Raw genomic sequence first — 15,347 nt, 5'->3', positions numbered from 1 at the left:
TAGTCCAACTATTGATTCCTTATCACTTGCTGACATTTGTTGCTAGGGAGCATTGTGAGTATTTGAAATATACATTTATTTCCACTAAGAGTTATGTAATCAATTTTAATATATTTTAAATATACTTTATGATGATGTAGATTAATAATGGAAATGATGATGGCGGTGGTGGTGGTGGCGATGGTGATGGTCATGTGTGTTTGTCATAGCTAAAGAACAGCATTGAAACTTTTCCAGTGCACACAACACACACAAAATCCACTTATAACTAAAAATTAATTATGAAGTAGGTCAGTCTTATAAAGGATTTTTAAGGAAACATAATTACATGAATTTTCTAGATTAACTCAAACTATGCTAACTCTTGTCCTCAGATGACTTGAATTAATGAAATGATATATAATTAGTGTTTCAGTTGTTTACATGTAAATATAAGTTGAGTATTCCAGAAAAGTTTGTTCGTAGGCACTTTTTCATCTCTAGTTTTTATTTTATACTGAAACAAAAAGAAATAAAACATCACCCCAAACTCACTACACAGATATTTCAGTGTCTATCACCTGTATGCCTCCCTGTGTATATATACACATATATCTACTTGATTGTATGTAAATGAGATAACTTTATATGACCTGTTCTGTAACTTGCTTTTTTACGCACATCTTGTGCATGTATTTCTATGTCAATAAATGTACATCCACATTATTGTTTTAAAAGATGAATAACATTCTGTTGTATGTATGTACCATAATCTGCTCATCCAGTCCTCTGCTGATGCATTTTTTTCTTTGTTGCTGTTACAAAATAATGTTATGGTAAACATTCTTATGCATGCATCATCTTTATAATTTGACTTGCAAGTATTTTTAAAGTTTCTTTCTCAGTGTCATTATTTTGTTCTATACGTATAAAGGGATCTCTAAACAAAATCAAGTTTCTTCCCTATTCTGTTTTTAAATTATTGTAAATTTCAAAGTAGCGAAATTGGAATAAATGAGATTTTACTGTGTACTTTGCCTGGAGCCCTCTCTTGAAGTGTATTCAAAGGGAATTAAAGGGCTTATTAACGGATAGGACTATTTGTGTTAAAGATGAAGTCTGTTGAACATTTTCACCTAAATATACCAATCTGATATTCTTGACGTTTTTTTGTTAAATTTGATGCTGACAATAAAAACTTTGGAATAAGCTATAATTTCTGCATCCATGCATATTCAGGTCTGAAAATGAAAGAAGAGTGTGACAGGTTTGCATGTAGAACTTCCCACCCACTCATTTCTTTCCTTTCTGCTTCTGACACTTCAGCCTTTGAAACAGTTTCCCATGAGCAATACTGAGATTCAGACTATTTAGATCTAAAGGAAAAAATGCAAGCTCTTCTACAGCTTGTATCTAGCACCTGGAAACGTCTTAGAAGAAGTGCTAAAATGTAAATAATGCTGTTATTTGTTATGCACATAGGAGAAATCCTAAAGGTATTTTAGGGAAGAGATGGAATCCAGAGATATTAAGAACAAGGTGTGGGGGCCAGGGGAGAAGGGGAGAGGCAGAAGGATCCTATCCACATTATTAAAGTGAAATATTTCCAGTATACTCTTATCAACTGACATGTAGACTGCATGCCGCTTTCATGCAAAGGTATCACATTTCAAACTTAGCATTTAAAAGAAGCCAGACAAGAAAGGAAAAGAGACAGTTATTTGTTGAAAAAAGTCTGGGTTTAGCATCAGGCACAGGGGTTATTGGTAGTTGTCTGAAGTACACTGGAGCCTTGTAACATTGTTTTGTGCCATGTATTGCCAGCCTGATACCACTGGAGTACATCCTCTGTCTAGTTTTCCAGAACTCACTACAATAACTGTAGGATTTTTCCATCCTTTATGAAATTGCATCAGTATTGTGAAGGGCCTTAAAAGCCATTCAGTTCAACAACCATCTCCCAAAAGAAAAGTTCCTCTTCTTTTTCCATTTATTTTATCTCTTCCCAAAGCCATGGGGACCTAGATACATCAATTATCCTTTGTCCTGTACCTTCACTACCTCCTGGACTACTACCTTTTTTCCACTGGCATACAGATCATTTCAAGACTTCTCATCCTAAAAAGTCCCTCCTAAGTTTCTCTTTCAGACTGTCTCTTTCCTTTGATAGGCAAGAGCTTTCTTCATTTTCTCGCCTATTTTTAAATTATTCAGCTTCACCTTTGCTTTTATTTTCTCATCTAATTCTTAATTATTCAGCCCTCCGCATTCTATCTTCTGCCCACATTGCCATCCATGAACTCCTCCTGCTAATGTCGCTAGTGACTGCCAACTAAAATCCATTTCTCCCTTCAGTCCTTACCTTATTTCTCCTTTCTACAGCACTTGACCAGGTTGGTCAACTTTTTCATTGAAACCATCTCTTCTGTGGGCTTTCACAACACTGCTTTTTCTCTGTTCTACACCATCACTATTTTTCTTTTAATTTTTACACTTCCCTCGTCTTTTCTGAAATGTTTGATGTCCTCCCCACCCCCAGTTTCCAGCCTCAGTAGTTGTCTTGTATTCTGCTTGTGTTCTCTAGATTATTAAATGTATTCTTGTGGTTTCAGTTACCATCCATATGCAGACACCTTTCATCTTGAGAGCCAGGCTTATATATACAAATGGCTGCTGCACATTAACCTATCACTAATGGCTCTTTAAACTCAAAATAACCAACAATGGAGTCATTGTCTCTATCTCTGAAATAGAACACACTACCCTCCCCCACTTCTTCCCCTTTTTACCCTGTGGCAACAACCTTTTGCTATCCTGATTTTAAGCAGGCTGCAGCATCATAATAAATGATACATAATATCTGCCTTTAAAATGCCTGTAGTGGTTAAGAGGGAGGGCTCTGACATTACATGGATTTGAAACACAATTCAAATGCTTATAAGGTTTATGATTTGGGGCAAAGGAATTATTAATCCATCTGTCCTTTAGTTTCCTCATCTATAAAATGGAGGTAATAGTAGTATAGACCTCATAGGGTTCTTAAGAGGATTAAATGGAATGATAATACATGCACAGCATTTTACAGTGTTAAGTTCATTAAGTTAACAAATGCTTCATATTATTTGCCGTTACAGTCCATATAATAACATGCTGCCTTCAGGCCAATATATATAAGCCTATAATTCTTGGAAGACTATGGAAATCCTATCATATATTAAATTGTCATTTTTTTTAAGACTAAGAAAAATTTATGTAAAGTCCAAAAGTACAGCTGTTTACAGGGGACGAACTGATCCACAAGGCCACAGTCTACCCTCATCAGTTAGTGTCCATCACTGAAGTGGAATAACTCAAAAGGAAAAGGTAACTCAACGAGCCATCCATTTCCCACATAGAATCACAACAGAAGACAGAAAATATGGAGTGGAATGTTGAATCAGCTGCTGTTGGGAGACCCTGGTCTGCACTCTATCTGTATTCTTACTGAAGGGAGTGCAGGGCAGGGTTTCCCATACAGAGGGCACAGACTACCACCGTATGGCAAATGTTGACTGGAACTCAACTTCAAAGCCATTTCACCTGGAATCTTACCCCACCACCCCAATGCTTCATGAAAATTCAACTGATCCTCTTCTATGAAGAAACTCAATCCTGATAAGTCTCTTTAGTAGTTATTGAAATGTCTTTGTAACTCTCTTATAGTCAGGTTCAGTAAGAATGTTAAGTTTCTAATTGAGCTTTTCTTTCTGAACAGTTATTTTGTGTATGTTTATTTTCTGTTTACCAATGTAATATATGTTCTTTGCAGAAAAATTGGAAAATACAAAAAGGTATCTACAAAGTCCCCCAACCAAGAGAAAACCAATATTAATGTTCTGTTATAGATCCTTGTAGTGGCTAGCTGGAATTCGTGTATATCTCTCTCTCTCTGTCTTTGTCTTTCTTTCTCTCTCTCTCTCTATATATATACATATATTCCAAATATACATTTTTATGTAATATATATGTATATTATATATGTATACATATATTCCAAATATACATATATATCTTCATGTAATATATACGTATTTTATATATATGTATAAATACATAATATACATATATAACCTAATATATGATATAGCATAATATATGTATACACATATATGTGTACATATATAAAATACATATATATTACATAAAGATATATATGTACATTTGGAATAACTATGCATACCATGTTTCAAACCTGCTGTTTACTCGTTATTATGACTATTCCTCTATATATTAAAATATTATTCTTAATCTACATTTTAGTGGTTGAATAGTAATAATCTATTTAGTTTGTTCTCTGTTTATTTGTTTTTGTTTTTGGGAACAAGGAACTGTTCACACCTAAATGTGTACAACCTTTATGTCTAGATCAGGCACTTGAATTCTTAAAAAAGTGTTAGGAAATGGAATAATGATCTTTTATTTATAAGTTGTATATGTTTCTGTATTCTGTTCATATATGATAATTGAAATAGACCTATATCTAACACTTTAAAATTTATAGTATTTTCATCTTTATTTCCTCATTTGATCCCTGCTACACCTTGTGAGATAGAGAAGGGCTTATTATTCTGTCCTTATAGATAAGGAAACTTATGTCCAGAAAGATGAAGTGGTTTTCCAAAAGACACGTAGCTAATAAATAATTGACAACATTGGAATTTGGAATTAGAAAGCAAGTCTTGTGACTCCTAACCAATACTCTTTCCAGTACACTTTGCCATGTCCCAACTTCACTTTCTTTAAGTGCTTCTTTCTAGCACCTCTTATTCAATTATTGTCATACGTACTTTTTGGATCATACCTTAGGAGAATGTAGCTTTCTCATGAATTTCCTCATTAGCTGACAACTGAATATGGCTAGATTTTAACAATAAAAACACATTTTTTTCTTTTCAGGAATGCAAATACACAGTGTATTATATGTAGAAAAAACTCTCAGATATTGGATCCTTATTGATGAGGCTTATGAGATAATATAGCAACTCAGACTTTTCTCAGGAAGAAGAAAATCCATGTCTTTTGTTGGACAGTTTAGAGAGTCTAGACTACCATCATTCAGCATTTGAACATTTTGATTTCAAAATGTAGACAATTGAAGAAATACAATGTAAATGCCAGGGAATTAAATCATAGGACAAAAACTCCCTATGAAAACATCTTAGTGATAGCATACATGTTAAAATTTTTGAAAACACTGGGAATGGTTTCACTTCTCATCTGAGTATCTGAGAAACAGATGATTATGTACCTCCCAGCCCTGTGTCAGCCCTAATTTAGTTGATGGCATTATTGCTCCCTGCTTTCTTTTTTTTCTCTTTATAGCAGATTGCTATTCTTTTTTACTTTAAAATAGCACCTTTTGCTGCCCTGTCTTATCCTTGTGCTCTTTTAAAAAGTGGTCAGGCACACACTTTTGTCACTAGTTTTACATGAGGGTAGGGGCTTTCTCTTTTCTTTTCAAAAATTAAGTGCCACTACATCTCAGTTAAACTGCCTTCATCTGACAAGCACTTACAGAATACTGAAATATAATCTACTGCAAAAAATCTACATGTTTTTCATAAATACGAATGAAATGCTTTTAATATTATCCCTGTGTTCAGAGTTAATGCTTAGGCATTAACTAAAGTACGCTAGACGCTTTTGATATATTTCCAAAGGCCCAGCCAGAAAGATATATTGCAGATACACATATTCTAAGTGTTTACAAAATCTTCCAAAATTATTTTGCCTGTGTCTGCTTAAAAGGCACAGGAAACAGCTCCCCTACTATCTCCTCTATCCAGTCAGGAACACTTGCAGTAAGGACACTGGTTGTTCAGTGCACAAGGATTAAAGTAACTTAATTACACAGTCAAATCAATAATAAATTGAGATCATTAGAGCCTTGGCTCGAGCTGAACCCCAGGTAGCCGTGGAATCCCTATGATACTTGAAGAAGAATTGACACAGATTCTAAGGCCTCACAGGTTCAAGGAGAAGCAGACAGCCTCACTTTGTTCCTTCAAATTAGTTTTGAGTGGAGGAATCTTAGGTTTAAGTGAGACCTGGATCTTGTTTTGGGGTGATCTCTGGAAACTGGGATATAATCTACTCTCCAGGGTAGAAGACTATGAAGGGACTAAAGGAGCAAACTCTAGGTCACTGAGAACCCCTTTCCTACAAACAAAGATCTTGGTTGTGTTCCCTCACTTCCAGAGAGCTCATTGGACCGAGCATACCCTTGAGTATTAAGGTCAGTGCATACTGAGTTTAAAAACAACATAGGTATAAAATTGAATGGAGCAGTGGTGAGGAAGGTGGAAAAGGATGAGAAGGGAACTTCCTTTGGACTTCTTTGAGCCAAAATAAGTAGTATGTTTCCTAAATTCTTGTAATCAGACCATTGTTGGCTATTGGTAGAGGGAGGTTCAGATTTTCCATCTCTATCTTTTTTCTTCTGTTTCTTGGTCCTTCTGCCACTGCTTCTTTTAAAAAGAAATAAACTCATTTTTTTCTCAGCCTTATGTGGGAAACCCTCTTGGCATTTTCTAACTGCCAAGTGTTCTATAACTAGCCATCTGTGGAATATTTTTTTGTTAAGTTAATTTTTTAAATTAATTCATTTCCCTTTTCTCTCTCTCTCTCTCTCTCTCACACATGCAAACTAGTGTTTGAAGATCAATGAGCAAATGATCTTTCTTGTAACAACTTCCCTTTTTCAGCTGATCGCTTTTCTGAATTTTATCTCCTAAAATCACTTAAATAATTTCACTGAAACAAAGGAATGATTGGTCTTTTAAAGACTCGTACATGTATTGAATATAACATTTCCGACCTGACTAATAATTTGAAGTAACTTTGAGCTTTTCGAGGGCCCTAGCCAAAACAAAATGTTAGATGGCCTTTAACATTTATGTCTTCAAGGGACTGTGCTAGCCAAAGTTTCCTCCCAATCTGGAGGCAGCTTTGTGCCATAGCAATTTTCAGGCTTCATTGCATCAATCAAACAAATTGTTCTTGTAGTGCTTACTTACTGGGGAATTCACCAGCTGGAAGATTGTACCATTGAGCCAAAACAGGCCACTGGAACAGCCATACTCTTTACTTCATTTATGGAGCCATTTAAGAAGATGCTGTAGTGGCAGCTGCCTGTTTGTCAGAACAGCCTTGGAGGTGTGCTGAATGAAACCTAATTTAGACTAGTAGATGATCAGATGACAAAGAATACCAGAGATACAGGTGAATCACAAAAGAAGATGCTGTGAGACTTTCTGTAAGGAATTCCCCACCATGACTTTAGAAAAACTAAAGTTTCAGCTGCAGTTATGTTGAGTGAAGTGTAAAGCCTTGAAAACATAGACTAAAATGGTCCCCCTCCTCTCTCTCTTATCATATAAACACACCCCAACCCTATAATTTTTCTGATACAAATTGTATTTGGATTTTGCATAGATGGCCAGTTTACTTTTAAATAAGAATTATATGCCTGTTTATTTGAATGTCTGTTCCTAAGATTATCCACAACCACAACTCCATTTATTATATGTTTACATAATGTTGGGTGAGGGAGAGTAGTCAATGATGATTCATTTGGGACTAGATACAGAATTAAAATATAAAACAAATATTATCATTCTCAAGGTTTTAATAGATGGCTGAACACAAGGTATGAGTTTAGAAATTGTCATCCTGGATTATGGTGTGGATTTTATGTGCACCTTTTCATGATGGGCATCAGCTGCTTTGTATATTTTGTTCCCAAATCTTGTTAGTCAACTTTCAACTATCTGTGTATATAAATAATCAAGGTGATGTTAACTGCTTTATGGATTTTCTTGAGCAATTTAACACAAGATTGATTAGTGATTTCTGTCTGTAGAAAATGTTTGATTCCAGGCTGGCTTAGCCTCACCACACTTCTGACTGCCTCCTCCCTATCTGAGGAGGCTCAGAAAATACACAATCATTTCAATATTCACCTAAGCAAAATAAAATAGGAAGATAAATTTCTGCCCTGAATACTGTGATGCGTAATATTAATACAAAACTCCAAGAGAAATACATTTGAGGTAATTTTTTTTTTAACTTGGATAACTTAACTGTGAGTAGAGGCCTGTGATTCCACAACTTCACTAATGTGGAATTTTTTCTTTCTTTCCATTAGTCCAGACTCTAGACTTTGAGGGTGGAGGGGGAACTAGTCTTGTTCAAGCTGGAGTTCCTTATTAATGAGAGATAGTTTAGAAATCCTGAATAAGGCTTTGGACCAGACAATAAAAAAGGAAATGTGAAAGCTCAGAGCCTTCTAGAACAAAGAAACACCCCAAATCTTATGCCTGTCAGCTGGATGGTGACAGTACCCAGTAGCTCTGCAGTAGGCACCAGAGCATCTGAAGTACAACTGGTGGACCTCGAGAGAATGGGAGCTAGCTGAAAACCATTCTCTCCTTCTTAATGATTATCCATTAGCACACCATGTTTTTATTGCAGAATAGATTAGAAACAATTAGCAAATGGAAAATTGAAGAGGCCCTTGCTGCTTTTAGTGTTTAGATGTAACTTTTGAACAGAATCAAAATGCTCTTTTTGGAGTCAGATTTGCCATTTTACCTGAATTCCATTTTATGCGTCTGCCATGGGTTACATGCTTCATTCCATTTAAAAACGGAAATTTTCTGGATGTAGATTCAGTATGTCTTGCTGATTGCTGCATTTATTTCAGATGCTCTTTAGAAAGCATTGTTTAGTAAGCTAACTTTTTCATGCTGAGCATTAAAGTGATGGTTGAAGCATATTCCAAAGTCATCTTTTAACTCACAAGAATATGGAACCATATTGACTTCTACCAAGACAGTTTAATCATTCATTGTTAACAAAGAACATTATCATTTTTATTGTACTTGTCATTACCTATTACTGTACTCTTGTCTGAAAAGGCACTATGGTATAAGAAAAAATAATGAAATTAAACGAACAATGGATCTGATTTTGTCAATGCTCAGGAAGTGAATCACTCAATGCCAGTCCTATAGAATTCAGGGAAACATCATTAGGGCTTCAGGAATTTCGACTTTACTAATGTGGATTTTGTTATATTTCTCACATAGACTTGGATGAAGCTTTATGTGAATGCAAATTTTCTCATTTCTTATATTGATGCATTGTTTATTTGCATTTTTATTGTAACTCCTCCAAAGAGAAGAAAATCTTGGTTAATATGCAGATTAGAATTTTTATTGAGGATTGTGTTTTATTGTTCTTAAAGACTAAGGTGGTAAAGAAGGTTAGAACCCCCTGATGAAATCTGCATCACATTCAAAGAAATAGTACTTAGTGAGATTTTGTCATGAACACTTTCACAGCTTGATTCTATTTCTCATTATATCCCAATTATCAAACGAAATAAAACAAAGCCATTCCTATAGAATGAAACACATGAAAATGGCAAACTGCCTGTAAAAATGAACAAGGAAATACTGATCTTCAACTATTCCTATACCCTTATTTCTAACCTAATGTACCAACTCTCCTTCTCTCATTTTCTTTTACCAAAGTACTCTGAGGCAGAGAAATTAAATTTCTATCTAATACTATTGGTGAAAACAGAAGACTATATGAGAAACAGAGAAAATCTCCAAACAATCATGGTGTCTCCTGGACTTCCTAATATGGAAGTCATCTAATATGATTAAGTAATGCAGCACTAGTAACATCACCAGAGTTCACAGTGAAATGTTTTCATTCATCCCCACTGGAACTCCAAAGCACCAAGTGGACTTAGCATCAGAACTTAAGAAACTGAAGCCTTCGTTAGCCGTAAGTCTTTGCAAAGAAATGGAATCACAGTTTTGATTTATGTAAGAGGCACAAAGCAAACCATTACTCTGTATCCACAAATGTCAATTGTAGAGGAGCACCAGGTATCTGAGAGGAAGATCTTTGAGGGATATGCTGCTTCTTATACCCTTTTCCAAGCTCTTATTTGTTTAGAGTACAACAAAAGGAAAGGCTGAGTAAGAGAACTGTGATAGGGTTTGGGAGAAGGAAGGAAAATTCCATGGACATATACTAGCCAAGTAACTTACGTAGTTTGGGTCACTTGTTATCTGTTAACTACCCCTAACTCCTCTAGTGAATGAGGAGTAGTGGTAGTAGATTTCTGAAAAGACAACACAGTGTTTATTACCTAAAGGAGCAGACTTCCTCAAATGTGTTTCTGTTGGACCTTTGGATTGTATAACATACTGTTTGGGGACAGAAATGAAACTTCCTAGTTATATTTTTCTTAGATGTATACTATAGTGGGTGTGTATTATCTGTGTAATTCCCCCAACTGTAATATATTTCAAATCACTTTATTCTAAAAATGAAGTACATCTTACATAGAGCAACATTCAAATAAAATATTTGCCATAGAAAATAGAGGGTACAACGATGGTTACTAGAGGTTGGAAAGGGTGAGGCAGGGAGTGGGGATGGTTAATGGGTACAAAAATATAGTTAGATAGGATAAGATCTAGTGTTTCATATTCACAGGGTGACTACTGTCACCAATAATTTATTGTACATTTTAAAATAACTAAAAGAGTATAACTGGATTGTAACACAAAGAAAGGGTAAGTGCTTGAGGTGATGGATACCCCATTTACTCTGATGTGATTATTACACACAGTATACCTGTATCAAAATATCTCATGTACTCCATAAATATATACACCTGCTATGTACCCACAAACAAATTTTTAAATTCAAATTTAAAAAATTAAATGTGTGTCATGAGAATTTCTAAGAAGGGCACTCCAAATCATTGGTTTGCCTTGCTAGACAAAGTGTAAATTATTTTAACACAATATACAGCTGGGTAAAAGGAAAAAAAGACTGTGACTTGTTTGCCACCCACAGGGCTGTCAGGAAAGGCTACAACATTTCACTTCTCAAGGAGTAAGTTCCTTTTACAGATTAAATTGGAAATACAGTTACATTTTATTTCATCTCACCAATGTTGAATTAATAACCTATGTGAAACCTTTATTTAGAAATGAACACTTCAAGCATGCGTTAAATTAGCAACTAAGTACATAGCTTATAAGACCATGAAGAATGGTTATGTTTATAATGTTCATTTTTAAAAAAAAATATTATACTTTAAGTTCTGGGATACATGTGCAGAAGTGCAGGCTTGTTACATAGTTATACATGTGCCATGGTGGTTTGTTGCACCCATCAACTCATCATCTAGGTTTTAAGCCCCACATGCATTAGCTATTTGTCCTAAAGCTCTCCCTCCCCTTGCCCCCCACCTGCCAACAGGCCCCAGTGTGTGATGTTCCCCTGCCTGTGTCCATGTGTTCTCATTGTTCAACTCCCACTTATGAATGAAAACTTGTGGTGTTTGGTTTTCTGTTCCTGTGTTAGTTTGCTGCGAATGATGGTTTTCAGCTTCATCTGTGTCCCTGCAAAGGACATGAACGCATTCTTTTTTATGGCTGCATAGTATTCCATGGTGTGTATGTGCCACATTTTCTTCATCCAGTCTATCATTGATGGGCATTTGGGTTGGTTCCAAGTCTTTGCTATTGTGAATAGTGCCACAGTAAACATACATGTGCATGTGTCTTTATAGTAGAATGATTTATAATCCTTTGGTTATATACCCAGTAATGGGATTGGTGGGTCAAATGGTATTTCTGGTTCTAGATCCTCGAGGAATGGCCACACTGTCTTCCACAATGGTTGAACTAATTTACACACCCACCAACAGTGTGAAAGCATTCCTATTTCTCCACATCCTCTCCAGCACCTGTTGTTTCCTGAATTTTTAATGATCGCCATTCTAACTGGCGTGAGATGGTATCTCATTGTGGTTTTGATTTGCACCTAATGTTCATTTTTATACTTAATTATTTTAGAGGCAGGTTGTTGCTATGTTGTCCAGACTGGACTCCAGCTCCTGGGCTCAACTGATCGCCCTGCTTCAGCCTCTTGAGTAGCTGGGACTATAGGCATGCACCACTGCACCTAGCCTTACTTAATTAAAAAATATCTTTCTAGAACATTTTTAGCTCATTGCTTCAGAAGGTATTAATGTGATGGTTCAGATCTGTCATTCATTTTTTCAAGTCATTACTCGTGTCCTTCACATTTCAGAAGGATTAGAGAGATAAGAAGATCAACTTTCAAGATTATGTAAGATTGATAGAAAAAGCAAGCCAGTATTTCCACCATCAGCTTGAGATAAGATTCCATATTTTGACTTATACAGGTGATAGAGGCGAATGTTTTTCAATTTGAGGTATTTGTCAGAATAGGCAAGAGATGAGGACTTACACTTTAAAAAATTCTTCTTTAAAGACAAGTTTGAGAATAAAATCAAGCTATGATTATGTAGCCTAGTAGAAATAATATTTATCATCCCTTAACTTGTAAATGAGAAAGGTCAGTATCATTCTTTCTGTTGTATAAATTTTGAAGCTCAAGGCTCAGAGCATTTGCCAGACTTTAGTAAGGGTCATCTTTAAACCAGTGACCGATCCAGAGATTCCTCTCCATTAGAATTCCTGGATGTAAAAGAATGTAACTGGTCTTGACCTTAAGCTACTCCCGACACTCGAATGTTCAAATGTCTTTCAGACAAACTGAAAAGTTATTTTCCGTACTATTATATAAGAATGATTATTCTTTTGCATTCATAGATTGAATTTAAATTTGTCATAATTGTAACTTTTGACTTATATACCTAGCCTAAATAAATAAAAATGTTTACTTTAAAAAGTCCAATTAGAATCATTGGCTTAACTAGTTGCTTTCATTTAAGTATTCATACAAAAGAAAAGAGGTTTTAAGGATTAGTTTCTTTCATGTGCTAGGCAGTCTAGCTGATAGCTGTTGTAGTGAAGGCAATTTCTGTTAGTAATTGCTGGTTGTATTTGCTTACACCTTTATTTAAAGGAAACTTGTCTGTTTTGACAGTCTCACATTTTTTGCTCATTCTGAAAATTACTTGGGAAAATTACTTGAGTGCAGAAAAGTTATTTTCTTTGTATTGTAGAAAAACATCCTTCCCTCCTGAACACAAATATTGTAGTCCTGGTGAAAGCTAACTGCTCAACTTCACTTGTTGGCTTTGTTTCAGTAAGGTTCTGCCATTACAATGGAAGCTTATTTCATAGTTTCCACTTTCACGACTGATCCTCAATAAAAGAAAACAACCAGTTAAGCATAATAAATATTTGATTTAGTAACTTGAACATAGTCACTTTAAAAATCAGAAGCGACTCTATAAGGCAAGACCTTTATTAGAATTCTCTGCTGTCCTATGCAGTAATGGAGGAAGAAACATAATTATCAAAGATCTACATCAATGACATATTTCAGATTGTGATTTCTGACATCAGTGTAGTAATCATACTGGGAATTGGTTGTTTTTATTTCTAGCAGGCAGAATCTGAATTTTGGTTTTGGATTACCAGAATAATTGCTTCTCGGCCTTTTGGCTAAGATCAAGTGTGGATTACCAGAATAATCCTTCATAGAGCCCAGTAGTCAGTAAAAGATTTGGTTTCCTTAAGTATATAGTCAAAGCCATTAAGTGGAAAATTGAGATAATAAAAGTAGGCAATGTAGTTCCGTCATCACATGCAATATGATTGTATAATATTGTGTCAAAATTTCAAAATAGTTTCAAATAGTTTATGCATACCCATGTGGCTTGAGGCAAAAGCTCCTAATATTGGCTCTTTAGGGCTAACGGCAAATGCCCATATTTAAATGCTTGTGTCTATAGGAAGTCAGTAATTGCTAAAGGTAATTCTGTTTGCAGTTCTAATAAGATAAGTGAATAACATGGTGATTAATGTTATTTTAATAATAGATGGAGTCATATAAACACCTAATTCTTAAGTTAGTGGGTTGTGTTTGTTCATGACAAATGGGACCCCGGAGGATCAAAATTAAAGATTCAACTAAATATTTTCATTCATTTCCAAGAACCTAGTACATTACCCTGCCCATAGGCAATCAATAAATATATGCCAATTAATTGGCTTTTTTTTTCTAAAATTGATTTCCAATAATTCCTAAAGAACAAGGTCAAGGAGAATAATATGTAGGAGTCATTTTACCAATAATTGATAATTGAGCTCAGAGTGCACAGGGGTGATCTATGAAACGCCATCATGATTTCTGAAAAGCTTTAGCAAGGGTTATTAAATATAACAGATTATTTCATTCAGTACTATCAGTCTGATTGAAAAGTTAGGCCTTAATGATGTCCATAGCTGGTATTTTGTTCCTTTCTATGTGTAGCATTTCCCTGGTTAAGATGCCTCACAATGTTCTCAAATTAGTATCTTTCAGCCTTCTTTGTTTTTTGGACATTGTGTCTGTTTTTTGAGGAGGAGTCTGCCTGCCATTTGTTTCACACTTTAGTAGTACCTACCTATAAGATTGAAAAGGAGGTTGTGCCCCCTACTTTTCTGACACTTTAACCCACCAGCATTAAGCTAATAACCTACTGGCGTCTGCCAGAAGATTTGTTAGTGTTAAACCCATATGCTTCTAGTGTTTGGCAATGTGAAATATTATACCAAGTCTTATCATTCACCGGTTATCATGAACCCCTCAAGGTGCTATGGTCTCCTCCTCCAATAAGCTCAGTTGAACTCCTTGCCAACCAAGAGATACTGTGACAGGATTGTTCTTATTTGCTGTTGCTATCAGCTTTGAGGAGCCACTGCAGCCTGGAGAAAGCCTTAGAAAATTTCCCAAGGCAACTCTGCTATTCCCCCCTAACACCTACGGGATTTACATACGCTATGCCATTGTATTCCCTATGATAATATATGTAAAGTCCTGTACACATTACTGACATGCTATACGTGTTGAATAAATGTCAGCTATTTCTATTATTAAATATCCATTATTATGACTGAGCCTCTCTAGTGGCCCTTAGGCTAAAATGACTGTTATACCTCAGTCTAGGATGCTCTTACTAAACAGCAGCTCCTTCTCTGATTAAAGCACCATGTGTTCTCAAAGTTCCTATAGTGCACTATGATTACTCCTACTTTGGTACTCATCTTGCCAAACAATACTTGCAACATTTATCCTTCCTGTTTCTCTAACCAGACTGTAAATTCTGAAAAAGCAGGAAATAGCTGTGACTTGTTCACTGTAGTATCCCTAGGGCTTTAGCATAGTGTCTACACTTTTCATGCATGTAGTAGGTGTTCAGTAAGTGTTTATTGAATTAATGAATGAATGAAAAGTATCCTAGTATCACAGGTTCTGAATTATTCCTACAGAGAAGTCCCCAAAGAAGCTATGTATTCTCCAGTTACCCTCTGAAA

General features: G+C 35.4%; 1 protein-coding gene and 1 non-coding gene across 7 annotated transcripts in view; both read left to right on the top strand.

Annotated features, from left to right (window-relative positions):
• FGF13 (fibroblast growth factor 13) overlaps positions 1-15,347 on the top strand; it is a 590,297-nt gene that overhangs the window by 533,812 nt on the left and 41,138 nt on the right. The gene's annotated exons all lie outside the window — the stretch shown is intronic.
• Positions 3,419-3,501, top strand: MIR504 (microRNA 504). Its single transcript, NR_030229.1, has one exon. It is a non-coding gene; the product is annotated as a microRNA 504 (primary transcript).

This window comes from Homo sapiens, chromosome X (genome assembly GCF_000001405.40).
Source record: "Homo sapiens chromosome X, GRCh38.p14 Primary Assembly".
NCBI classification, from domain to species: domain Eukaryota; kingdom Metazoa; phylum Chordata; class Mammalia; order Primates; family Hominidae; genus Homo; species Homo sapiens.
The sequence above is the reverse complement of the archived record's forward strand: the minus strand, read 5'-3'. Positions and strand labels throughout refer to the sequence as shown.